At 41.9% G+C, this 27,520-nt stretch overlaps 1 protein-coding gene across 2 annotated transcripts, besides 12 other annotated features; it reads left to right on the plus strand.

The window, feature by feature from the left end:
• Positions 6,208-9,270: a promoter, noted in NCBI's record as "-2880 to +182 promoter". NCBI's record gives the evidence for it as "EXISTENCE:reporter gene assay evidence [ECO:0000049][PMID:15131259]".
• Positions 6,500-6,571: an enhancer, noted in NCBI's record as "HSD-En; -2670 to -2518 placental enhancer". NCBI's record gives its function as "enhancer in JEG-3 placental cells" and the evidence as "EXISTENCE:reporter gene assay evidence [ECO:0000049][PMID:15131259]".
• Positions 6,522-6,541: a protein binding site, noted in NCBI's record as "HSD-En". NCBI's record gives the evidence for it as "EXISTENCE:protein binding evidence [ECO:0000024][PMID:15131259]".
• Positions 6,522-6,541: a protein binding site, noted in NCBI's record as "HSD-En". NCBI's record gives the evidence for it as "EXISTENCE:protein binding evidence [ECO:0000024][PMID:15131259]".
• Positions 8,231-8,256: a protein binding site, noted in NCBI's record as "Stat6 #1 site". NCBI's record gives the evidence for it as "EXISTENCE:protein binding evidence [ECO:0000024][PMID:9892013]".
• Positions 8,597-9,270: a promoter, noted in NCBI's record as "-492 to +182 promoter". NCBI's record gives the evidence for it as "EXISTENCE:reporter gene assay evidence [ECO:0000049][PMID:8584035]".
• Positions 8,922-8,947: a protein binding site, noted in NCBI's record as "Stat6 #2 site". NCBI's record gives the evidence for it as "EXISTENCE:protein binding evidence [ECO:0000024][PMID:9892013]".
• Positions 8,952-8,972: a protein binding site, noted in NCBI's record as "NBRE". NCBI's record gives the evidence for it as "EXISTENCE:protein binding evidence [ECO:0000024][PMID:25092869]".
• Positions 9,082-16,937, plus strand: HSD3B1 (hydroxy-delta-5-steroid dehydrogenase, 3 beta- and steroid delta-isomerase 1). 2 transcript variants are annotated; one of them, NM_001328615.1, is made up of 4 exons: positions 9,082-9,091; positions 9,271-9,500; positions 13,382-13,546; positions 15,713-16,937. In NM_001328615.1, the coding sequence occupies exons 2-4, from the start codon at positions 9,356-9,358 to the stop codon at positions 16,522-16,524; spliced, it is 1,122 nt and encodes a 373-aa protein (NP_001315544.1). In that variant the 5' UTR covers positions 9,082-9,091; positions 9,271-9,355; the 3' UTR covers positions 16,525-16,937. The 2 variants fall into 2 exon arrangements, with proteins under 2 accessions (NP_001315544.1, NP_000853.1); NM_000862.3 differs by having other exon boundaries at positions 9,089-9,141; positions 15,713-16,933.
• Positions 9,193-9,216: an enhancer, noted in NCBI's record as "3betaI-A element". NCBI's record gives the evidence for it as "EXISTENCE:reporter gene assay evidence [ECO:0000049][PMID:8584035]".
• Positions 9,193-9,216: a protein binding site, noted in NCBI's record as "3betaI-A element". NCBI's record gives the evidence for it as "EXISTENCE:protein binding evidence [ECO:0000024][PMID:8584035]".
• Positions 9,193-9,216: a protein binding site, noted in NCBI's record as "3betaI-A element". NCBI's record gives the evidence for it as "EXISTENCE:protein binding evidence [ECO:0000024][PMID:15291746]".
• Positions 9,214-9,236: a protein binding site, noted in NCBI's record as "+126 to +151 site". NCBI's record gives the evidence for it as "EXISTENCE:protein binding evidence [ECO:0000024][PMID:15291746]".

Consider the following 27,520-nt stretch of genomic DNA (forward strand, 5'->3'; position numbering starts at 1 on the left):
GGTAAACAAACAAGCTGGGAAGCTCGAACTGGGTGGAGCACACCACAACTCAAGGAGGCCTTCCTGCCTCTGTAGGCTTCACCTCTGGGGGCAGGGCACAGACAAACAAAAAGATAGCAGTAACCTCTGCAGACTTAAATGTCCCTGTCTGACAGCTTTGAAGAGAGTAGTGGTTCTCCCAGCACACAGCTAGAGATCTGAGAATGGGCAGACTGCCTCCTCTAGTGGGTCTCTGACCCCCGAGCAGCCTAACTGGGAGGCACCCCCCATTAGGGGCAGACTGACACCTCTCACGGCCGGGTACTCCTCTGAGACAAAACTTCCAGAACGATCAGGCAGCAGCATTTTCCGTTCACCAGTATCCACTGTTCTACAGCCACCGCTGTTCTGCAGCCACCGCTGCTGATACCCAGGCAAACAGGGTCTGGAGTGGACCTCTAGCAAATTTCAACAGACCTGCAGCTGACAGTCCTGTCTGTTAGAAAGAAAACTAACAAACAGAAAGGACATCCACACCAAAAACCCATCTGTACATCACCATCATCAAAGACCAAAAATAGATAAAACCACAAAGATGGGGAAAAAACAGAGCAGAAAAACTAGAAACTCTAAAAAGAAGAGCACCTCTCCTCCTCCAAAGGAACGCAGCTCCTCACCAGCAATGGAACAAAGCTGGACAGAGAATGACTTTGACGAGTTGAGAGAAGAAGGCTTCAGATGATCAAATTACTCCGAGCTACAGGAGGAAATTCAAACCAATGGCAAAGAAGTTAAAAACTTTGAAAAAAAATTAGACGAATGGATACCTAGAATAACCAATGCAGAGAAGTCCTTAAAGGGGCTGACAGAGCTGAAAGCCAAGGTTCAGGAACTACATGAAGAATGCAGAAGCCTCAGGAGCCGATGTGATCAACTGGAAGAAAGGGTATCAGTGATGGAAGATGAAATGAATGAAATGAAGTGAGAAGGGAAGTTTAGAGAAAAAAGAATAAAAAGAAACAAACAAAGTCTCCAAGATATATGGGACTATGTGAAAAGACCAAATCTACGTCTGATTGGTGTACCTGAAAGTGATGGGGAGAATGGAACCAAGTTGGAAAACACTCTGCAGTATATTATCCAGGAGAACTTCCCCAATTTAGCAAGGCAGGCCAACATTCAGATTCAGGAAATACAGAGAATGCCACAAAGATACTCCTTGAGAAGAGCAACTCCAAGACACATAATTGTCAGATTCACCAAAGTTGAAATCAAGGAAAAAATGTTAAGGGCAGCCAGAGGGAAAGGTCGGGTTACCCACAAAGAGAATCCCATCAGACTTACAGCACATCTCTCGGCAGAAACTCTACAAGCCAGAAGAGAGTGGGGGCCAATACTCAACATTCTTAAAGAAAATAATTTTCAACCCAGAATTTCATATCTGCCAAACTAAGCTTCTTAAGTGAAGGAGAAATAAAATATTTTACAGACAAGCAAATGCTGAGAGATTTTGTCACCACCAGGTCTGCCCTAAAAGAGCTCCTGAAGGAAGCACTAAACATGGAAAGGAACAACTGGTACCAGCCACTGCAAAAACATACCAAAATGTAAAGACTATCAAGGCTAGGAAGAAACTGCATCAACTAATGAGCAAAATAACCAGCTAACATCATAATCTCAGGACCATATTCACACATAACAATATTAACTTTAAATGTAAATGGGCTAAATGCTCCAATTAAAAGACACAGACTGGCAAATAGGATAAAGAGTCAAGACCCATCAGTGTGCTGTATTCAGGAAACCCATCTCATGTGCAGAGACACACATAGACTCAAAATAAAGGGATGGAGGAAGATCTACCAAGCAAATGGAAAACAAAAAAAGGCAGGGGTAGCAATCCTAGTCTCTGATAAAACCGACTTTAAACCAACAAAGATCAAAAGAGACAAAGAAGGACATTACATAATGGTAAAGGGATCAATTAGACAAGAAGAACTATCCTAAATAAATATGGACCCAATACAGGAACACCCAGATTCATAAAGCAAGTCCTTAGTGACCTACAAAGAGACTTAGACTCCCACACAATAATAATGGGAGACTTTAACACCACACTGTCAACATTAGACAGATCAACGAGACAGAAACTTAACAAGGATACCCAGGAATTGAACTCAGCTCTGCATCAAGTGGACCTAATAGACATCTACAGAACTCTCCACCCCAAATCAACAGAATATACATTTTTTTCAGCACCGCACCACACCTATTCCAAAATTGACCACATACTTGGAAGTAAAGCACTCCTCAGCAAATGTGAAACAACAGAAATTATAACAAATAGTCTCTCAGACCACAGTGCAATCAAACTAGAACTCAGGATTAAGAAACTCACTCAAAACCGCTCAACTACATGGAAACTGAACAATCTGCTCCTGAAGGACTACTAGGTACATAACAAAATGAAGGCAGAAATAAAGATGTTTTTTGAAACCAACGAGAACAAAGACACAACATATCAGAATCTCTGGGACACATTCAAAGCAGCGTGTAGAGGGAAATTTATAGCACTAAATGCCCACAAGAGAAAGCAGGAAAGATCCGAAATTGACACCCTAACATCACAATTAAAAGAACCAGAAAAGCAAGAGCAAACACATTCAAAAGCTAGCAGAAGGCAAGAAATAACTAAAATCAGAGCAGAACTGAAGGACATAGAGACATCAAAAAACCCTTCAAAAAATTAATGAATCCAGGAGCTGGTTTTTTGAAAAGATCAACAAAATTGATAGACCACTAGCAAGACTAATAAAGAAGAAAAGAGAGAAGAATCAAATAGACGCAATAAAAAATGATAAAGGGGATACCACCACCAATCCCACAGAAATACAAACTACCATCAGAGAATACTATAAACACCTCTACACAAATAAACTAGAAAATCTAGAAGAAATGGATAAATTCCTCAACACATACACCCTCCCAAGACTAAACCAGGAAGAAGTTGAATCTCTGAATAGACCAATAACAGGCTCTGAAATTGTGGCAATAATCAATAGTTTACCAACCAAAAGGAGTCCAGGACCAGATGGATTCACAGCCAAATTCTACCAGAGGTAGAAGGAGGAGCTGGTACCATTCCTTCTGAAACTATTCCAATCAATAGAAAAAGAGGGAATCCTCCCTAACTCATTTTATGAGGTCAGCATCATCCTGATACCAAAGCTGGGAAGAGACACAACCAAAAAAGAGAATTTTAGACCAATATCCTTGATGAACATTAATGCAAAAATCCTCAATAAAATACTGGCAAACCGAATCCAGCAGCACATAAAAAAGCTTACCCACCATGATCAAGTGGGCTTCATCCCTGAGATGCAAGGCTGGTTCAACATACGCTAAATCAATAAATGTAATCCAACGTATAAAAAGAACCAAAGACAAAAACCACATGATTATCTCAATAGATGCAGAAAAGGCCTTTGACAAAATTCAACAACTCTTCATGCTAAAAACTCTCAATAAATTAGGTATTGATGGGACGTATCTCAAAATAATAAGAGTTATCTATGACAAACCCACAGCCAATATCATACTGAATGGGCAAAAACTGGAAGCATTCCCTTTGAAAACTGGCACAGGACAGGGATGCCCTCTCTCACCACTCCTATTCAACATAGTGTTGGAAGTGCTGGCCAGGGCAATTAAGCAGGAGAAGGAAATAAAGGGTATTCAAATAGAAAAAGAGGAGGTCTAATTGTCCCTTTTTGCAGGTGACATGATTGTATATCTAGAAAACCCCATCGTCTCAGCCCAAAATCTCCTTAAGCTGATAAGCAACTTCAGCAAAGTCTCAGGATACAAAATCAATGTGCAAAAATCACAAGCATTCCTAAACACCAATAACAGACAAACAGAGAGCCAAATCATGAGTGAACTCCCATTCACAATTTCTTCAAAGAGAATAAAATACCTAGGAATCCAACTTACAAGGGATGTGAAGGACCTCCTCAAGGAGAACTACAAACCACTGCTCAATGAAATAAAAGAGGATACAAACAAATGGAATAACATTCCATGCTCATGGGTAGGAAGAATCAATGTCTTGAAAATGGCCATACTGCCCAAGGTAATTTATAGATTCAATGCCATCCCCATCAAGCTACCAATGACTTTTTTCACAGAATTGGAAAAAACTACTTTAAAGTTCATATGGAAACAAAAAAGAGCCTGCATCGCCAAGTCAATCCTAAGCCAAAAGAACACAGCCAGAGGCAACACGCTACCTGACTTCAAACTATACTAAAAGGCTACAGTAACCAAAACAGCATGGTACTGGTACCAAAACAGAGATATAGATCAATGGAACAGAACAGAGACCTCAGAAATAATGCCACATATCTACAACTATCTGATCTTTGACAAACCTGACAAAAACAAGAAATGGGGAAAGGATTCCCTATTTAATAAATGGTGCTGGGAAAACTGGCTAGCCATGTGTAGAAAGCTGAAACTGGATTCCTTCCTTACACCTTATATGAAAATTAATTCAAGATGGGTTAAAGACTTACATGTTAGACCTAAAACCATAAAAACCCTAGAAGAAAACTTAGGCAATACCATTCAGGACATAGGCATGGGCAAGGACTTCATGTCTAAAACACCAAAAGCAATGGCAACAAAAGCCAGAATTGACAAATGGGATCTACTGAAACTAAAGAGCTTCTGCACAGCAGGAGAAACTACCATCAGAGTGAACAGGCAACCTACAAAATGGGAGAAAATTTTCACAACCTCCTCATCTGACAAAGGGCTAATATCCAGAATCTACAATGAACCCAGACAAATTTACAAGAAAAAAACAAACAACCCCATAAAAAAGTGGGCAAAGGATATGAACAGACACTTCTCAAAAGAAGACATTTATGCAGCCAAAAAACACATGAAAAAATGCTCATCATCACTGGCCATCAGAGAAATGCAAATCAAAAGCACAATGAGACACCATCTCACACCAGTTAGAATGGCAATCATTAAAAAGTCAGGAAACAACAAGTGCTGGAGAGGATGTGGAGAAATAGGAACACTTTTACAATGTTGGTGGGACTGTAAACTAGTTCAACCATTGTGGAAGTCAGTGTGGTGATTTCTCAGGGATCTAGAACTGGAAATACCATTTGACCCAGCCATCCCATTACTGGGTATATACCCAAAGGATTATAAATCATGCTGCTATAAAGACACATGCACACGTATGTTTATTGTGGCACTATTCACAATAGCAAAGACTTGGAACCAACCCAAATGTCCAACAATGATAGACTGGATTAAGAAAATGTGGCACATATACGCCATGGAATACTATGCAGCCATAAAAAATGATGAGTTCATGTCCTTTGTAGGGACGTGGATGAAGCTGGAAACCATCATTCTCAGCAAACTATTGCAAGGACAAAAAACCAAACACCGCATGTTCTCACTCATAGGTGGGAATTGAACAATGAGAACACATGGACACAGGAAGGGGAACATCACACTCCGGGGACAGTTGTGGGGTGGGGGGAGGGGGGAGGGATAGCATTTGGAGATATACCTAATGCTAAATGCCGAATTAATGGGTGTAGCACATCAACATGTCACATGTACCTGCACATTGTGTACATGTACCCTAAAACTTAAAGTATAATAATAATAAAATAAATAAATAAATAAACAATTGAAAGAAGTGAAAAACAATGATGTGAAAAATTGAACTACTCTTGCAGTGTTGATGGGACATGCAGCCACATTGGAAAACAGATTGCCAGTTCCTTAAAATGTTAAATATACATTTACCTTATGATCTAGCACTTTCACTCCTAGCTGTCTACCCCAAAGAAACAGAAACCTATGTCCACACAACACATGAATGTGAATATTCATAGCAGCTTTATCCATAATAGTCCATAAAGTGGAAACACATCAAATATCGATCAATTGATGAATGAATAAACAAATGGGAGCCATCCATACAATTTAATAGGGTTTGGCACCTAAAAGGAGTAAAATATTGATACGTGCTACAACATAGATGAACCACAAAAGAACATTAAGCTGGCCAGGTGTGGTGACTCACACCTGTAATCCCAGCACTTTGGGAGGCCAAGGTGGGTGGATCATTTGGGGTCAAAAGTTTAGATCAGCCTGGCCAACATGATGAAATCCCGCCTCTACTAAAAATACAAAAATTACCCAGGCATGGTGGCAGGTGCCTGGAGGCTGAGGCAGGAGAATCACTTGAACCCGGAAGTGGAGGTTGAAGTGAGCCAACATCGCACCACTGCACTCCAGCCTGGGCAACAGAGCAAGACTCTGTCTCAAAAAAAAAAAAAAGTATATTAAGCTAAGTGAAAGAATAGAAATACAAAGACCAAATATTCTATGATTCCATTTATATAATGTCTAGAAAAGGCAAATCTGTAAAGTCAGTGAGTCAATTAAAGGTTGCCTTGAGCTGTGAGTAAGAGTAAGGAATGGTGACTGATGAGCACGAGGGATTTCTTAGGAATGATAGAAATGTTGGAAAACAGGATTACAGTGATGGTCCACACAAGTATAAAATTTTACTAAAAATAATTGAACTGTACACTTAAAACAAGCAAATGTGATGTCAATTATACCTCAGTAAACCTATTTAAAAATAAAAGAAAGTTGGTAGTATGGTTCCCAATCACTCTGGACCTTTGTTTTATTTCTCCCTTTCTTTAGGGCTTATATTTATTGCTTCCACTCAGAGACTCCAAGACACATGAGCTGAAATCTACGAGCCTCCAGAACGTTCAACAGCTGAAAGAAAGTCCAGCCCCACACTGAAGGCGATGGGGGATCTTTAAGGTGCTCTCCAGCACTGCTACAGCAGGCAAAGGCATGCGATGCACCTGGGTAGTTTCAGATAGTACTCCACAAGTCTCAGCAAGACCCAGGGCCTGTAAATAGTTCTGATAGTTTCAGAGAACAAGCTGCTACATCTTGTAGCACAAGGCCAACCTTTCCTAGGCAAGTGGTTTTGAAGCATTGGTAGTGAGGTCCAAAGTAGAAGATGAATGTCTACAACATGGAGGAGGGCAAGACCCAGAGTGGGGTGTCAAACTAAATCATTTGTAGAGTATTACTTTCAACAACTGCAGAAAGCATTCTTTTCAAGTGCTTATGGCATGTTCACCAATGTAGACCATATGCTGGACCATAAAACAAATCTCACTAAATATTCAAGAATCAAAATCATACAGTGCATATGCTCTGGCCACAGTAGTATTTAATTAGAAATCCATAACAATGAGATATCTAGAAAATCCTCACTTTTAGAAAACAAGCAACACACTTCTGAATAACACTTGGGTCAGAGAAGAAACCACAAGACAAAACTTTAAATATTATTAACTGAATGATGATAACCCAATACATCAAAATGTTGGGTACAGCTCACACAGTGCTTAAAGAGAAATTTACAACTTTTAATGCCTATAGTGGAAATAGGAAAGGAGTAAAGAAAAACAATTTTCTATGCTTTTATTATCAGGATCCTGAAAAACGGGGCTGGGTGCAGTGGCTCACGCCTGTAATCCCAGCACTTTGGGAGGCTGAGGCGTGCAGATCACAAAGTCAGGAGTTTGATACCAGCTGGTCAACATGATGAAACCCCACCTCTACTGAAAATACAAAAATTAGCCCGGTGCAGTGGCGGGCACCTGTAATCCCAGCTACTTCGGAGGCTGAGGTGGGAGAATTGCTTGAACCCGGGAGGCAGAGGTTGCAGTGAGCTGAGATGGTGCCCCTGCACTTCAGCCTGGGTGACAGAGCAAGACTCCATCTCAAAAAAAAAAAAAAAAAATGTGAAAAACGAGTGAAAAAAAAAAACAAAATTAATAAATGTAAGCCAATAATAAAAATAATGAAAATCATGAAATAGAAAAATAAACAACAGAGACAATCAACGGTCAATTTTTCTGTACTCCCTGCACAAAACTTCATTTCAAAATAATTTTATATTTAAATATATATCCAGAACCACAGAGATCTTAGAAGAAAAAATTAGAGAAATATAGAAATAAAATGAGAACTGTGGGAATAAAAATCAGGAAGTAGTTGCCTATGAGGTAGATTGGGGGAAGGTCAGGGAATTAACAGGGAACAGGCAGAAAACAACTTTCTGGAGTGACGGAAATGGTCTATATCTTTTTTGGGGTGCTACTTACATGGGCATATATAACTGTCAAGTTCCACTGAACTGAACACTGAAGACCTGGGCATTTTAATGCATGTAAATTATATTTCAATTTTTTTGAGTAAAGTGTCTTGGGAAGCTTATGGCGGTGATATTTGGGCAGTTCTGGGGCATAGGCTTCAGAAGCATTCACAGTATGTCCAGTTCAAGAATTTGCTGAGAATCGTTTTGCAGCCAAAAATATGGATAAGTTCGAACACCTATGATAAGAGTCATTGGGGCATACAACCACAAATCCCCACTCTTGTGATACAGGCCATATCATTAAGTGGTTATCACCAGATAGCTTTCCTTCAATGATGTTGTTCATCTAGGAACCCAGGGCTCTCCAGGGGCAAATGACCATTGAGGTTTCAGATATATTGGGTAGGAAAGAAAGTCACCTCACATAAAACTAAGTGATTGGAGCTGTCACCATTGCAAATTTCTAAATTTTGTAAGACAGCAGCAACATTTCAAATGATAGTCTGAGAGAGGAGATAATGGGCTTACATGGATTTCCCTCCAGATGGATTTACTGAACAAGGGCACAATTCAAATTGCACTTGCAGATTTCTCCTGGTCTAGTTTAAGTTCACAGATTGTGGATCCCAGACAGCTGGTATCAACTGACTAGTGTCCTGTTAAGGCTAAACCCAAGACTCTTTGCCACACTGCAGCATTAGGATGGGACTTCTCTTCCTGTTCCTGGGAAGAATTAGAGATGTAACCCAAAGGTCACTATTTTTCTGAGATAAGGATCCCATAGGAGGAGAGAGCAATGAGTACATGGCCAGAGATCAAAGTGATAAGGGTTGGGCCAGAAGCCACAGTGCATAAAGCTTCAGACTTGCCACAGGAAATGAGGTGAGAAGTACGTCCACTCTTCTGTCCAGCTTTTAACAATCTAACTAATGGTTAGAGATTTTTCATTTTCTTTCAGCTACTCCTGCAGTGGTGGGGACACAGAATGTTTGCAAAAAAAATGGGGTGGAGGAAAATGAGGCATCTGTGTGAGTATATAACCATTTGACATCTCTTTTTAGCCCTCTCCAGGGTCACCCTAGAATCAGATCTGCTCCCCAGCATCTTCTGTTTCCTGGTGAGTGATTCCTGCTACTTTGGATGGCCATGACGGGCTGGAGCTGCCTTGTGACAGGAGCAGGAGGGTTTCTGGGACAGAGGATCATCCGCCTCTTGGTGAAGGAGAAGGAGCTGAAGGAGATCAGGGTCTTGGACAAGGCCTTCGGACCAGAATTGAGAGAGGAATTTTCTAGTAAGTAAACTTGGGTCATGGGTGTGTGGTTCCATCTTAAACACTGCATGTATGTGGGGGGAGATGGACCTTGTCTAGCAAGTTATTGAAATTTGTAGCCAAATCTAAGCCAATCTCACATCCAAAGTCATCAAGAAATAAATATTAAATAGTATAAAATGGCATAGTATGAAAGATACTGGGTGGGATTTCCAGAGACTAGATTCTGGCCCTGACCCAGAACTTGAGAAGCAGCCACCTCAGCCTCCAGGCCTCTTTTCTTCTCATCTAGAAAATCCCACATCAGTTCTTTGTCTTGTCTGCAACTCTTTTATGTTCTGAAGCTTTTGTCTTGGCAATTGCTGTACAACATTCATAAAGGACACTATTACCCTGGAGACCTCACCAATGGGTCATTGTCTCTCTAGAACGTGCCAGGCTGTGTTTTGTTTTGCAGCTTCCTTAGTATCCTTTGTGAGGGCAAAATAAAAGGAAGTTAAGGTAAAGATGAGTGTATAAGTGGGTGTGTGTGACAGAGAGAGAGGAAAACAATAAGGGGGAGAGAGAGTCGGGGAGAGAGAGTCGGGGAGAGAGACTCAGAGAGAGAGACAATGAGAAAGACAGAGAAATAATGAAAAATATATAGTGAGAGAGAGAGCATCAGTGAGAGAATGTGTGTGCACAGTGCACAGCACAGAGCAGAGACAGAGTAAGAGGCAGTATAAGGCCAGACATGCCTCATTTAGATTTTGCATATATGGCTTTTTTTTAAAAAAAAAAAAACAAAACATTTACCTCTGTTGCTCATCATCAAAAAGAAATTGACTGCAGAATTTTCTGTGGCAACTCCTTGTACAAATGGCCCCAAGAGGCAGGTAGAAAAGGCATCACATCCAACAGGACAATGAACGCATCAAGGTCCGGAATCACAAAGCAACATGCTAAGGCCATCTGATTGATGCGTAGCAGAGCTCAGACCAGAGCTTTATCCATAGGCTATTTCACCTGGCCCCAGAGCTGATGCTTGGCAAAGTGGATCTTCAGTCTCTCCCTTTGCTCCTTGGTGTGCCCCAAAACAATTCCCTGTCCTCCTCCCCAACCCAGGGGATTTGGGGGACTGTGTGTCTACATGTGGGCTCTGGCTGCCCAGAGGGTCCTGCCCTGCCCACAGAGAATCCCCCACTTGACAGCACTCAGGGACCACACCCAACACTCTACTTTTGCTCTTCTCTGACCTCTTGAAATGTTCGATTTCTTCCACCCTCTGTTTTAATGTTGTCTTTGATAAACAAATATGAAATGCTTATAATCCTTGCCTGTGTCTCAGCAATATTTGCAATTTAACATCTGAAGCCAGAAAAAAGCAATGCTCAGCCTAGAGGTATTGTTCCCCTATGGTAAAAATGCAGATCATATAATAGACAGGCAGGGATCTGTATGAAGATAAAAACAGAGAAAGCATTCAGTGTTCTTTTTGTGCCAGGCACTTGGCCAAAGGTTTGCCAACTCATTTGCTCCTCATAACAACCCTATGAGATCGGTAATATTATCCTCCTTTTTTAAAGATGAGGAGATAGAAACAGAGAGGTTAGTTAACTTTTTGAAGGTCCCACAGTTAGCATATGGCAAAGCTAGATTTGAACCCAGACAGACTAGTGCAGCATCTGTGCTCTTAAGCAGTAGTTTGTCTTACAGCTCCTTTAGGCCTTCCTCTAGCCCAACTTACACCATAAAAGCAACTCCATTTAGTCTACATAAAACACTTGCCAAGTCTACAGTGCCTTGGAGAAGAAGGGAGCCATGACTTCATCAACAAAGTACCTTTTCCTAGTCCCTCTAGATCCCTGGGAACTCACTGGGGAAGAGTCCTTTTCTCTCAGCTTTGGACTTCTTCCACTTTGACACTCCTTTGAGCCAGTCTGTCTGAAGTGGCAGCAAAGAAGAAGCAGAGGAAGGCAGCAGGAAGGGCAGAGGTGGAACTAGAACCAGAGAACATCCCACTCTCAGGCTGTTACCCACATCACCACCAGCAGCCTCTTCCCTGACTCCCCCACTCCAGGACCTTCTTGGAGTTGCCTGACAACGGGAAGAGGTTGGGAGTAGACAAAACATGGCAGAGGCATCAGGAGAGCAAGTGGTCCTGCTTGTACCCCAGGAAGGAATTTCTCCAGCTTCGAATTTTTCACTCTGAATTTTGCTCTCACTGGTCTTTGGTCTTTGTTGCCAATTTCAGTTAAACTGGCTTATTCTTTGGAAAAGAATGATATTAAACAACAGAAAAGTTGATATTAAACAGCCAGTCCTGCACCTGGTGTACAGGGTACAAGCTTGGAGGCAGGGTGGGCGTGTTTAAGCCTTCACTAGAAACGTGACCTTAGATCTGTCCCTTAACCTCTCTGAGACTCAGTTTCCTCACTGATAAAGTGGGACTCAGAATACCTACCTCATGAGATAGCTGTAAAAAGAAATAAATATCCTGTAAGTTGCATACAGATGATAAAGCACAAACAAGTGTAGAGTATTTATCCAAGCTCCATGTAGCATGGTGTTCATTTTGTGGGCTAATTCCAGGTGACAACCTTACTGGCAGCGTCACTTCCTGTGGATTTCAGAGGAACCTGAAGACATTGATGTTGTAACCACTGCCTCCAGCTAGACAGCTGCGATGTTAGTTCATTGGTGGTTAACTCATTTTCAGCATTGCTACCTGCTTTTGATGATATCTGATAATAGTTTTCCAGGGAAATTCATCATTGAAGCCCACCCACAATTCCTGAGTAATGACTCCACTCTCCTCCCAGTTGCCCAAGCAGGAAACTGTAGGGGTGATTTTATCTTCTCCTTTTCCTATCAGCTCAGATCCAATAGGTACCAGGACCTTCAAGGTAAGGTCTGAAATTCAAACCTGGTATATCTCTCCCCTCCTCTGCTTCCACTGCTGGACCCTGCTTCCAGTCCTCATCGAAACTTTGGCACAGACATTCTGATTAATCACTTGATCATCAGTCTTTCTCAAATCCCCTATACCAGTCCATTTTATATCCTCAAGCCAAGATTAACTTCCTACACCACAACCCTGCTTTTGTTCCTTTTTTTGTTGTTGCTTGTGTGGTTTTCTTTTTTTTTTTTTTTTTTTTTTTTTTTTTTTTTTTTTGAGACAAGGTGGTCTTGCTCTACCACCCAGGCTAGAGTGCAGAGGTGTGATCTTGGCTCACTGCCAGGAACCAGAGACCCCAGCCTCCATTTATCCTCCCACCTCAGTCTGCAGAGTAGCTGGGACTGCAGGCAGGCACATGCCACCATGCCCAGCTATTTCATGTATTTTAATAGAAATGGGATTTCCCCATGTTGTCCAAGCTGGTCTCAACCTCCTGCGCTCCAGTGATCCATCCATCACAGCCTCCCAAAGTGCTGGAATAACAGGCATGAGCCACGGGGCTTGGCCTTTTTGTCATTTTATTCCAAATATAAATAAGGGGTTTTCTTTAACATGATGCTGGAGTCCCAAAATTATGATTCTATACATGATTTCTCATTACTTACAGAATTAACTTCAAACTTTTCCCTCATACTCTCTACAATCACACTACTCTCCTTAGAAAATTTGATGGGCTTCCCATGACTCTAGCAATGCTTATATTCCAGGCATACCTGACAGCTCACTGCTCAGATTACTTTTCTAAAATGAGATGGGAGAGAAACAGATGTTTGCTCTTTCCAAGAAATTGATACACATGCTGATTTCTGTGCCTTTTTTACTTGTTCTTTCCGTAGAATGTACACCCTCCACTCTAACACCCTACTCTAACCATCCTTGAACACCTATGTAACATCACCTTTATCAGAAAACTTCTCAGCCAGATACAGAAATCATTCCAATGACCTGACCTGTGTTCACACAGAACTCCAGAACAAGACCAAGCTGACAGTGCTGGAAGGAGACATTCTGGATGAGCCATTCCTGAAGAGAGCCTGCCAGGACGTCTCGGTCATCATCCACACCGCCTGTATCATTGATGTCTTCGGTGTCACTCACAGAGAGTCTATCATGAATGTCAATGTGAAAGGTATGGTAGGCTGGGGAGGAGATGCAGCAAGGTGGGGAATTAAGGATCACAAAGAAGGGCAGGAAGGGAAGAGAAGTCCCTCCACTGAACACCTGCTGTGCTCTGGGCCAAGTGCCTTTGCTGATCACTACGAATAGGAGAGTTCAAGACTGCTAACTTTAGTTTTTTAGATGATAAAACTAGGACTGAGAGAGGGCAAGTAACTTGTCCAAGGTCCCCCAGGTAAGTAAGCAGGTAGGAGAGTTAGACTTTAAACTCATCCCTGTGTGACTCCAAAGGCTCTTTCTACTGTGACTCCAAAAGCTCTTTCTACTGTGGTTCCAATCAAAAGTCAACTAATTTCTGACTTCAGACTCTTGATACCCAGACACCCCTTGCCTCCCAGGCCAGAAGCAGACCTTGCAGGTGCCACTGTAGTCACCATTTTGAACCTTGTGTGTAGGCTGATGAAAACATTCAGAGCCCTCCTGCCCACCTCAAACAAAAAGTCCTCTCGAGAGAACTAGCAAAGCTGGTTCACAAGGTCTGTCAGGACAGAATTATCCAGCACATGCCTTCCCACAATATTTTTTTAACAGTGAGATTTTTCCAGTATCAAGAATACAGTCTCTTCAGCTCACCACAGGGCCTACTATTCCAGAGCCGTTTTCAGCCAGGTGCCCAAAGTGCACCCTCATTTAATCTTCATCCCTTAAATGCTTGGCGTTTCCTTTCAAAGTATGGCTTTCCAACTACCTTAAATTCAGACACATTTCCTTAAGGAATCTTCTCAGAAATCTCACCCTCTGATCTCCAGAGTCCAGTCTCTTCAGCACCATAGCACCCCAAACCCCGGCCTGGCCCTCCGCATTTAGTCTACTCTGACTCTTTTTCCAAAGCAACCAATTGCTTTTGAGTCTCCAGCACCATAAAAGAAAAAAAAAAACAACTTCCAGTTTCTACTTACCCATACTTCTAAGTACCCCTGCTGTGCAAGGAGGGTGCTAAGAGTAACCAGTTTTAATTACTACTTCAACAGCTCCCAAAAGGAGGGGATATGAAATGACAGGGGAAGTGTTAGAGGCATCTGTTTGCTAAAACCATTATAACTCCCAAGCTTAGAAAATACTTCACAATGTTGGTCATTTCCCCCTTGAAGGTAAACTAACTCCAAATTTTCTCTGCCACAAGATTAATTTTTGAACACATGAGGCTGTCTTTCCAGAAACTCAAATTGCACAGAGACATTAAAAGGGCTAAGAATACAAAAATTTGTAAATAAAAATGATCCTTTCCCTAGGAAATTCCTTCCTTCTTCAAGGGAAGGCACTATGGGTACCTCCATGAGCTTTGCTTCTACACAGCTCAGGGGAGGCTGCAAGGTCCTCCCACTGCAGGTGTTACCAGCAGAGGACACACTTCTCTCCCCAGCCCTCCACCAGGCTCCACAGGAAATGCCAGGGCAGGGTTTAAAAGAAGGTTTATCACCTCCACTTTACATAACCAGGTAAACAGAGTCACAGCCAGAATTGGAAGCAGCTTTCCCAGGGAATGCACAATCAGGAAGAGTGTGGGTTTCCAGCATCTCCCCACAACCCACTGCTTGCTCAGTGACTCCAGGATGGTCCTTGTGACAAAGTTTTATTAGAGCCCAGCAAAATGAGAAAAGTACCAACAATTTCATATATATTGAAGAGTTTATATTGCCTATATACAATGGTGTATGTGTGTGTGTGATGTGAATTCTTCAACTGCCCATTTTGCCTAAGGACTGGAACTGTCCATATTCACAGAGTATAGCCTCCTGATTTTTTAGATTTTAAATGATCTGACTTTAATGGTACTGATTACAAATCATAATTTGTCAATACCCTTACTTGGCAAAATAAAAAGTGATAACCCTAGGTCCCTTTCCAAAATTAAAGTACACACACACACACATCCATGAAACCCAAAAGTCTAGAAATTCTTACTCTCCAGAACCCACATGTCAGTTTCTCTTCATTTTGGTATTTTTCTTATGGCTGTAGTACGACCAAATCTCAGACAGAACCACAGAAGAATGTACCCTGAGTCTGTTACAACCACCATATTTGGGAGTGGGGGGTGGGGCACATAGATCTGTGTTCGTGGTTGGCACCTCTTAGGGATATATCCTGACAGTGACAATATGCTCTTCATGGACAGGTACCCAGCTCCTGTTAGAGGCCTGTGTCCAAGCTAGTGTGCCAGTCTTCATCTACACCAGTAGCATAGAGGTAGCCGGGCCCAACTCCTACAAGGAAATCATCCAGAATGGCCATGAAGAAGAGCCTCTGGAAAACACATGGCCCGCTCCATACCCACACAGCAAAAAGCTTGCTGAGAAGGCTGTACTGGCGGCTAACGGGTGGAATCTGAAAAACGGCGGCACCCTGTACACTTGTGCCTTACGACCCATGTATATCTATGGGGAAGGAAGCCGATTCCTTTCTGCTAGTATAAACGAGGCCCTGAACAACAATGGGATCCTGTCAAGTGTTGGAAAGTTCTCCACTGTTAACCCAGTCTATGTTGGCAATGTGGCCTGGGCCCACATTCTGGCCTTGAGGGCCCTGCAGGACCCCAAGAAGGCCCCAAGCATCCGAGGACAGTTCTACTATATCTCAGATGACACGCCTCACCAAAGCTATGATAACCTTAATTACACCCTGAGCAAAGAGTTCGGCCTCCGCCTTGATTCCAGATGGAGCTTTCCTTTATCCCTGATGTATTGGATTGGCTTCCTGCTGGAAATAGTGAGCTTCCTACTCAGGCCAATTTACACCTATCGACCGCCCTTCAACCGCCACATAGTCACATTGTCAAATAGCGTATTCACCTTCTCTTATAAGAAGGCTCAGCGAGATCTGGCGTATAAGCCACTCTACAGCTGGGAGGAAGCCAAGCAGAAAACGGTGGAGTGGGTTGGTTCCCTTGTGGACCGGCACAAGGAGACCCTGAAGTCCAAGACTCAGTGATTTAAGGATGACAGAGATGTGCATGTGGGTATTGTTAGGAGATGTCATCAAGCTCCACCCTCCTGGCCTCATACAGAAAGTGACAAGGGCACAAGCTCAGGTCCTGCTGCCTCCCTTTCATACAATGGCCAACTTATTGTATTCCTCATGTCATCAAAACCTGCGCAGTCATTGGCCCAACAAGAAGGTTTCTGTCCTAATCATATACCAGAGGAAAGACCATGTGGTTTGCTGTTACCAAATCTCAGTAGCTGATTCTGAACAATTTAGGGACTCTTTTAACTTGAGGGTCGTTTTGACTACTAGAGCTCCATTTCTACTCTTAAATGAGAAAGGATTTCCTTTCTTTTTAATCTTCCATTCCTTCACATAGTTTGATAAAAAGATCAATAAATGTTTGAATGTTTAATGTGGAGGGAGGTGTGAGTTATGTTAATACATACTTTCCTCCTTTCTCCTTCTTTTCCAGGTATTGCCATCTCCAATTTAGAAGAGTAGCATAAAACCTGGGTTGGGGAGAGGGCAGAGTAGTGGGAGGGCCAGGAAGGGCGGATGAAGACTGAATAAGCTCTACTACCTTTCAGGCATGTACAACATGACCTACATATGACATATATTATCTTATTTAATACTCATCAGAAACCTATCTGGTGGGGGTGACTAATCCCATTTTACCACTGAGGAAACTTGTTCACAGTCACACTAACTGATTAGTGGCTATGCCTGCTACCAGGGAGTTGGCCTTGAAAGTCCTTATCTTTCCACGGAATCACGCAGCCTGAACTGGTCTTGTCAGTGGTACAGCAGAGCACTGGAGCATGCAGTGCCGATACGTGGAAGAGACCCATCTCCGTTGGGTTACCTCCTTCTTGCCCAGTCCCATGCAGGGGACTCTCTAGAACCCAGGAGAATCCCTGGGGAGCATCTGGAAGGGTTTGAATGCCTTAACAAATGGCCCTGAGCAGGGGTGAGTGAAGCAAAAATGCCTCCAGCCTCCACCTTCAATGCCAATTTCCTTGAAGGTCTCTAGAACACACCTGGCTATATGTGTGTTAGTCATTCTGATCATACATAACCCTGCATTTCACCCTTTCAAATCACACAGTGAAGCCACACCATGGGTTCCTGGGCAAGTAAAGGGAACAAGTTTAAACTTCCCCCAAAATGTGCCTTCTATTCAGCCCAAGAAGTAAGTCTACTGTCCCACATCCCCAGATTTAACTGCCTCTCTCTTCATTCTCCTTCTCTTCTTGAGATCATATCTTTTCCTCCTTTATTCTTTCATCTCCTTAGCCTCTTTCCTTCCCTCCAAATCCCCTTAAATCACTGGCTCTCTCATTCTTCTCAATTTCCCTGAGGAAAGGAGGCTAATCAAGACAAGCTTGGGGACTTCGATGATGACATAGTCATTAACCAACCAAAGGAGCAACAGTCAAATAAAAAATACTCTCAGGGGCATCAGTGACAGAGTTGAACTGAAGTGGGTGAGGAAGTTGCTGTGGGTCCAGAGTGTGGGGAGGGGAAAATTATCTCCCTCTGGACCTGGGTGTATCACAGCCATGATAGGAGTCACACCCAACTTCAAGATGGCTTGCTTCTTACATGGGGAATTTACAGATTATTAATCAGTTGAATTTGATTACTGCAAAGAGGTAGTTTCAGTATTCATTCTGAAGGGAAAAGGTAAGCACATTCTGGTCCAGAAGAACAGGTTTCCACCACCATCAACACCCCAAGAGACAGATGATCAGCACCAGCATCAGCATGGAGTGGCCCCAGGCAGTAGGGTAACATGGAAAATGGAACACCCATCCTTCCCTGGCACTGCACAAAATGCAAGAACCAGCATCTGTTCAGCTCTTGAAAGGCATGCACACCATGTATATGTTAATGCAAAATAGCAGTGAAAGGAAAGGAGGGTGGTGGAATCTTGGAAAAGGGCCCTTCCTCCTTGTTTTTCTGCCTAGTGAAACCCCACACCTATGAATCCACCAGGGCAATTTTCACAGGCAAGGGAAGAAAAAGGATTTATCTCCAACAGGCAGTGAGGGGTGTTTGAAGTAAGAGAATAGAAGACTGGATTGGCCAATGGTCTCAACTGAACAAGCACGAAGGCCTCAGAGTCTTGTGGCTAACAAAATGTGCCATCCCTTATTACACCTGCAGGTGCCAGGCGGGCAGAGCTCCTGCACCAAGCCCTGCTGCACCTCACCTGATGCACCACATGGGGGGCTGAAAAGGCTCCGAGGGAAGAACAAGGAAGCCTGACCTGGTAGGGAATTTTGGGTTCCTTTTCTCCAGCTGGGTGGCTCTGCAAGGTACCTGGCACAAGAATGAATGAAAGCGCTAGCCAGTACAGCCTGAGCTTTTGCTGAATGTGCCATCTTGCCCTAGCATAACATGCGAAGCCTTCATATGAAGACATTCCCTCTGTCTACCTCCCACCCCCTGCAGCCCCTGGCCCAAAATTCCTAAAGTCATACTTATAGTTGGCAAAATAATTCACCACAAGCAGATTGGGCAGACAGGGAACAAAACCAACCTTCACCTTCACCCTTAAATGGTGTTGGAATGTGTAAGCATCTGTACCTCTCTCATATATGTCTCCCTAGCGTTGAGCACTATACCCGGCACTTGCCCACTCAGCTGAGGGGTGAACTTCCCAGGGGCTCTGCTCTCAATGAGACACAGCCTTGGGGCCCGGGGAAGGCCAGCCATACACAGATGGTATCAGAACACCCAGGCAGAACCACTCCCTACTTCAGCTATAGTAGGTCCAGAAAAGCATCTCAGTGGAGTGTCTTCAGTGAATAAAAAGAATGCATTGAACTACTTTCAATGAATCCCTGGTCTCCAGGAACTGAACTCTGTCAGTCCTTTTACTAGTGTTGAACATTCTTCAAATATATGTATGGGAATGCCAGCTTGAACACAGCATGTACACTTATACCTTTTTCAAATTTCTTAAACAGAGGGAAACATGGGATACAGAACAACTTGCTGCCCACCTCATTGGCTTCCAAAGCTGAGCATTCCTGGCTGCTGGAATGAGGCAGGGCACCAGCTGGATATAGAGAGCACTGAGAACAGTGGCCTGGATCTCAGGGGAACAGCTGGCAATTGAAATCCATTGGAATGTGCTTTGGGTTAGCAGAGATGGCCTGGATCTCAGGGGAACAGCTGGCAATTGAAATCTATTGGAATGTGCTTTGGGTTAGCAGAGATGGCCTGGATCTCAGGGGAACAGCTGGCAATTGAAATCCATTGGAATGTGCTTTGGGTTAGCAGAGATGACCTTGACACTGCAGTCTGGCAGCAGAAAACTGCAATCTGCATGGCACTTGAGGTTGTGACAGGGAGACAGGGGAATAAGCATTAACAGCAAAGCTAGAGATAGCTGGGCACTAAGGCTCATGTCTATAATCCCAGAATTCTGGGAGGCCAAGGCAGAAGGATCACTTGAGCCTAGAATTTCAAGATCACCCTGGGCAACATAGGGAGACTCCATCTTTACAAAATTAAAAATGTATCAAAAGCCAATCAGGGCTTGGTGGTGTGCACCTGTGGTCCCAGCCACTCCCAAGGCTAAGGTAGTAGAATCACTTGGCCTGGGAAGTTGAGGATCATGCCACTGCACTCCAGTACTCTGAGTGACAGAGCAAGACGCTGTCAGAAAATAAGAAAACAATAAAAAAGGAAAAAAGGTTAGAGAAAAAAAAGAATGTCTAAATGAATAATGTCAGCACTGGAATCCCCATGATCTTTTGCTACTTGCCACACTCTGTTCTCCATACAACAGCCTGAGACATGTTTTTAAGTAAATTCAAATCCTATGCCCCACCTATTTAAAACCTTTCTGTGGCTTCCCGATCCATTTACTATACGCTCTAAACTGATCTCCAGCTCTCCTGGGCACTGCATGATCTGCTCATCCTTCCAACGCATTTCCTCATCACTCTCCCTTTCACTCATGATGCCTGAGCCAGATTGACCTCCCTTATATTCCATAAACAAGCAAATCTTTCTTGCCTTTGGATCTTCACATTTATCATTCCCTTAACATAAAATGGTATTCCTCATATCTCATGATTGGCTCTCTGTTGACATGTAGATCTCAGCTGAACTGTTAAGGATGAGGTGAGACATCCCTGACCATCCTCTCCTGAATACGCTCTGCTTCACTCATCACATCACCCTGTTTCTCCCCTCCTAGCTGTTACCACAACCTGCAACTAACTTATCAGTTGTCTATTTTGTTGTTTATCTGTACCTGCATAGGGACCTTAAACCGTCTTGCTCCCTGCTACATTCCCAAGAATCTAGAATCATGCCCAATGTCATAGAGAGTCCCATAAATATTTATTAAATAAATTAATCCATGGAGGCAAAGCTGGACCAGACTACATCAGCACATCTGGAGAATTATAGCAGTCAGAGGAGGAAAACAGTGAGTTAGGATGGAACCCAGCAGAATGGGTCACTACCTAAGCCAACAGACCTGAAAAGTCTTCTATCATTCCTTGACTGGACACTTTCCTGCATGAACCCATGCCATTGTGCAGGTCCACTTTTGCCCAGATTAACCCCCAGAGCCAAGAGCTGGGTCAAGGAAACATTTGCATAGAAAACACCAAAAGAGAAAGCCGTCCCACAGGCAGTCACTCTGGTAATAACTTTTAAGGCTATTTGTTTAAACCAAATATATGTATAGGACGTATACCATCCACATATTATAAAGGAAAAATAAACTACCATTGTACAGCTCTGCTTTCATATAACTGCAATTCAGAACACAGAATTCAGGAAAGTGAACAACAAACTTTCAAATCAGCAGTGACTTAAAAAAATTGTTTTCCATAGTGTCTGACTCAAAGCAGCTCCTTTGATTCTTCTCAGAACAAAAGATCTTAAAAGAGCAGCTCAGTAATGACTGAAACAGCCAGTGGATTATAGTTTTTTTCACATCCTTTATATCGCTAGGAGATAACTATGGAATGTTGCACTCTGGACAGAAGAGCAATACTTATAAAATATTCCCCAACAAAAATCACACTCTCTATTTTTTATGTTATTTTTTTTTTATTATACTTTAAGTTATGGGATACATGTACAGAATGTGCAGGTTTGTTACATAGGTATACACGTGCCATGGTGGTTTACTGCACCCATCAACCCGTCATCTACATTAGGTATTTCTCCTAATGCTATCCCTCCCCTTGCCCCCCACCCCCCGATAGGCCCTGGTGTGTGATGCTCTCCTCCCTGTGTCCATGTGTTCTCATTGTGCACTTCCCACTTATGAGTGACAACATGCTGTGTTTGGTTTTCTGTTCCTGTGTTAGTTTGCTGAGAATGATGGTTTTCAGCTTCATCCGTGTCCCTTCAAAGGACATGAACTCATTGTTTTTTATGGCTGCATAGTATTCCATGGTATATATATGCCACATTTTCTTTATCCAGTCTATCATTGATGGGCATTTGGGTTGGTTCCAAGTCTTTGCTATTATAAATAGTGCCGCAATAAACATACATATGCATGGGTCTTTATAATCTTTCAGGTATATACCCAGTAATGGGATTGCTGCATCAAATGGTATTTCTGGTTCTAGATCCTTGGGAAATCACCACATTGTCTTCCACAATGATTGAACTCATGTACACTCATACCAACAATGTAAAAGTGTTCCTGTTTCTCCACAACCTCTCCAGCATCTGTTGTTTCCTGACTTGTTAATGATCACCATTCTAACTGGAGTGAGATGGTCTCTCATTGTGGTTTTGATTTGCATTTCTCTAATGGTCAGTGATGATGAGCTTTTTTTCATATGTTTATTGGCCACACAAATGTCTTCTTTTGAGAGTGCGATGCCTCCAGCTTTGTTCTTTTTGCTTAGGATTGTCTTGGCTATACAGGCTCTCTTTTGGTTCCATATAAAATTTAAAGCAGTTTTTTATAATTCTGTGAAGAAAATCAATGGTAGCCTGATGGGAATAGCATTGAATCTATAAATTACTTTGGGTAGTATCACTATTTTCACGATATTGATTCTTTCTATCCATGAGCATGGACTGTTTTTCCTTTTGTTTGTGCCCTCTCTTATTTCTGTGAGCAGTGGTTTGTAGCTCTCATTGAACAGGTCCTTCACATCTGTTGTAAGTTGGATCCCTAGGTATTTTATTCTCTTTGTAGCAATTGTGAATGGGAGTTCACTCATGATTTGGCTCTCTGTTTGTCTGTTATTGGTGTATAGGAATGCTTGTGATTTTTGCACATTGATTTTGTATCCTGACACTTTGCTGAAGTTGCTTATCAGCTTAAGGAGTTTTTGTACTGAGATGATGGGGTTTTCTAAATATATAATTATGTCATCTACAAACAGAGACAATTTGACTTCCTCTCTTCCTATTTGAATGCCCTTTATTCCTTTCTCTTGCCTGCTTACCCTGGCCAGAACTTCCAATACTGTGTTGAATAAGAGTGTTAACAGAGGGCATCCTAGTTTTGTGCCAGTTTTCAAAGGGAATACTTCCAGCTTTTGTCCATTCAGTATGATATTGGCTGTGGGTTTGTCATAAATATCTCCTATTATTTTCAGATATGTTCCATCAATACCTAGTTTATTAAGTGTTTTTAGCGTGAAGGGGTGTTGAATTTTGTCTAAGGCCTTTTCTGCGTCTATTGAGCTAATCATGTGTTTTTTGTCATTGGTTCTGTTTATGTGATGGATTACATTTACTGATTCGTGTATGATGAATCACCCTTGCATCCCAGGGATAAAGCCAACTTGATCATGGTGCATAACCTTTTGAATTTGCCGCTGGATTCGGTTTGCCAGTATTTTATTGATGATTTTCGCATCAATGTTCATCAGGGATTTTGGCCTGAAATTTTCTTTTTTGTTGTTGTATCTCTGCCAGGTTTTCATATCAGGATGATGCTGGCCTCAGAAAACTAGTTACGGAGAAGTTCCTCTTTTTCTGTTGTTTGGAATAGTTTTAGAAGGAATGGTACCAGCTCCTCTTTGTACCTCCAGTAGAATTCAGCTGTGAATCCATCTGGTCCTGGGCTTTTTTGTTGGTAGGCTATTAATTACCGCCTCAGTTTCGGAACTTGTTATAGGCCTATTCAGGAATTGGACTTTTTCCTGGTTTAGTCTTGGGAGGGTGTATGTGTCGAGGAATTTATCCATTTCTTCTAGATTTTCTAGTTTATTGGATAAAGAGTCATGACCCATCCATGTGCTGTATTCAAGAAACCCATCTCATGTGCAGAGACACACATAGACTCAAAATAAAGGGATGGAGGAAGATCTACCAAACAAATGGAAAACAAAAAAAACCAGGGGTTGCAATCCTAGTCTCTGATAAAACAGACTTTAAACCAACAAAGATCAGAAGAGACGAAGAAGGCCATTACATAATGGTAAAGGGATCAATTAGACAAGAAGAGCTAACTATCCTAAATAAATATGCATGCAACACAGGAGCACCCAGATTCATAAAACAAGTCCTTAGAGACCTACAAAGAAACTTAGACTCCCATACGATAATAATGGGAGACTTTAACACCACACTGTCAACATTAGACATGTCCATGAGACAGAAAGTTAACAAGGATACTCAGGAATTGAACTCAGCTCTGCATCAAGTGGACCTAATAGACATCTACAGAACTCTCCACCCCAAATCAACAGACTACACATTTTTTTCAGCACCGCACCACACCTATTCCAAAATTGACCACATACTTGGAAGTAAAGCACTCCTCAGCAAATGTGAAACAACAGAAATTATAACAAACTGTCTCTCAGACCACAGTGCAATCAAACTAGAACTCAGGATTAAGAAACTCACTCAAAACCGCTCAACTACATGGAAACTGAACAACTTGCTCCTGAAGGACTACTAGGTACATAACAAAATGAAGGCAGAAATAAAGATGTTTTTTGAAGCCAACGAGAACAAAGACACAACATACCAGAATCTCTGGGACACATTCAAAGCAGCGTGTAGAGGGAAATTTATAGCACTAAATGCCCACAAGAGAAAGCAGGAAAGATCCGAAATTGACACCCTAACATCACAATTAAAAGAACTAGAGAAGCAAGAGCAAACACATTCAAAAGCTAGCAGAAGACAAGAAATAACTAAGATCAGAGCAGAACTGAAAGAGATAGAGACACAAAAATCCCTTCAAAAAATCAATGAATCCAGGAGCTGGTTTTTTGAAAAGATCAACAAAATTGATAGACTGCTAGCAAGACTAATAAAGAAGAAAAGAGAGAAGAATCAAATAGACGCAATAAAAAATGATAAAGGGGATACCACCACCAATCCCACAGAAATACAAACTACCATCAGAGAATACTATAAACACCTCTACACAAATAAACTAGAAAATCTAGAAGAAATGGATAAATTCCTCGACACATACACCCTCCCAAAACTAAACCAGGAAGAAGTTGAATCTCTGAATAGACCAATAAGAGGCTCTGAAATTGAGGCAATAATTAAGAGCCTACCAACCAAAAAAAGTCCAGGACCAGATGCATTCACAGCTGAATTCTACCAGAGGTGCAAAGAGGAGCTGGTACCATTCCTTCTGAAACTATTCCAATCAATAGAAAAAGAGGGAATCCTCCCTAACTCGTTTCATAAGGCCAGCATCATCCTGACACCAAAGCCTGGCAGAGACACAACCAAAAAAGAGAATTTCACACCAATAACCTTGATAAACATCAACGCAAAAATCCTCAATAAAATACTGGCAAACCGAATCCAGCAGCACATCAAGAACTTATCCACCATGATCAAGTGGGCTTCATCCATGGGATGCAAGGCAGGTTCAAAATACGCAAATCAATGAACATAATCCAGCATATAAACAGAACCAAAGACAAAAACCACATGAATATCTCATTATATGCATAAAAGGCCTTTGACAAAATTCAACAGCCCTTCATGCTAAAAACTCTCAATAAACTAGGTATTGATGGGATGTATCTCAAAATAATAGGAGATATCTATGACAAACCCACAGCCAATATCATACTGAATGGGCAAAAACTGGAAGCATTCCCTTTGAAAACTGGCACAAGACAGGGATGCCCTCTCTCACCACTCCTATTCAACATAGTGTTGGAAGTGCTGGCCAGGGCAATTAAACAGGAGAAGGAAATAAAGGGTATTCAAATAGAAAAAAAGGAAGTCAAATTGTCCCTGTTTGCAGACGACATGATTGTATATTTAGAAAACCTCATCGTCTCAGCCCAAAATCTCCTTAAGCTGATAAGCAACTTCAGCAAAGTCTCAGGATACCAAATCAATGTGCAAAAATCACAAGCATTCCTATACACCAATAACAGACAAACAGAGAGCCAAATCATGAGTGAACTCCCATTCACAATTGCTTCAAAGAGAATAAAATACCTAGGAATCCAACTTACAAGGGATGTGAAGGACCTCCTCAAGGAGAACTACAAACCACTGCTCAATGAAATAAAAGAGGATACAAACAAATGGAATAACATTCCATGCTCATGTGTAGGAAGAATCAATGTCGTGAAAATGGCCATACTGCCCAAGGTAATTTATAGATTCAATGCCATCCCCATCAAGCTACAAATGACTCTCTTCACAGAATTGGAAAAAATTACTTTAAAGTTCATATGGAACCAAAAAAGAGCCTGCATGCCAAGTCAATCCTAAGCCAAAATAACAAAGCTGGAGGCATCACCCTACCTGACTTCAAACTACACTACAAGGCTACAGTAACCAAGACAGCATGATACTGGTACCAAAACAGAGATATAGACCAATGGAACAGAACAGAGCCCTCAGAAATAATACCACACATCTACAACCATCTGATCTTTGACAAACCTGACAAAAACAAGAAATGGGGAAAGGATTCCCTATTTAATAAATGATGCTGGGAAAACTGGCTACCTATATGTAGAAAGCTGAAACTGGATCCCTTCCTTACACCTTATACAAAAATTAATTCATGATGGATTAAAGACTTAAATGTCAGACCTAAAACCATAAAAACCCTAGGAGAAAACCTAGGCAGTACCATTCAGGACATAGGCATGGGCAAGGACTTCATGTCTAAAACACCAAAAGCAATGGCTACAAAAGCCAAAATTGACAAATGGGATCTAATTAAACTAAAGAGCTTGTGCACAGTAAAAGAAACTACCATCAGAGTGAACAGGCAACCTACAGAATGGGAGAAAATTTTCGCAACCTACTCATCTGACAAAGGGCTAATATCCAGAATCCACAAAGAACCTAAATAAATTTAGAAGAAAGAATCAAACAATTCCATCAAAAAGTGGGCAAAGGATGTGAACAGACACTTCTCAAAAGAAGACATTTATGCAGCCAACAGACACATGAAAAAATGTTCATCATCACTGGCCATCAGAGAAATGCAAATCAAAACCACAATGAGATACCATCTCTCACCAGTCAGAATGGCCATCATTAAAAAGTCAGGAAAAAACAGGTGCTGGAGAGGATGTGGAGAAATAGGAACACTTTTACAATGTTGGTGGGACTGTAAACTAGTTCAACCATTGTGGAAGACAGTGTGGCTATTCCTCAAGGATCTAGAACTAGAAATACCACTTGACCCAGCCATCCCATTACTGGGTATATACCCAAAGGATTGTAAATCATGCTGCTATAAAGACACATGCACACGTATGTTTATTGAGACACTATTCACAATAGCAAAGACTTGGAACCAACCCAAATGTCCATCAATGATAGACTGGATTAAGAAAATGTGGCACATATACACCATGGAATACTATATAGCCATAAAAATGGATGAGTTCTTGTCCTTTGTAGGGACATGGATGAAGCTGGAAACCATCATTCTGAGCAAACTATCACAAGGACAGAAAGCCAAACACCACATGTTCTCACTCATAGGTGGGAATTGAACAATGAGAATACTTGGACACAGGGTGGGGAACACCACATACTG

The sequence above is a fragment of the Homo sapiens genome, chromosome 1 (genome assembly GCF_000001405.40).
Source record: "Homo sapiens chromosome 1, GRCh38.p14 Primary Assembly".
NCBI lineage: Eukaryota > Metazoa > Chordata > Mammalia > Primates > Hominidae > Homo > Homo sapiens.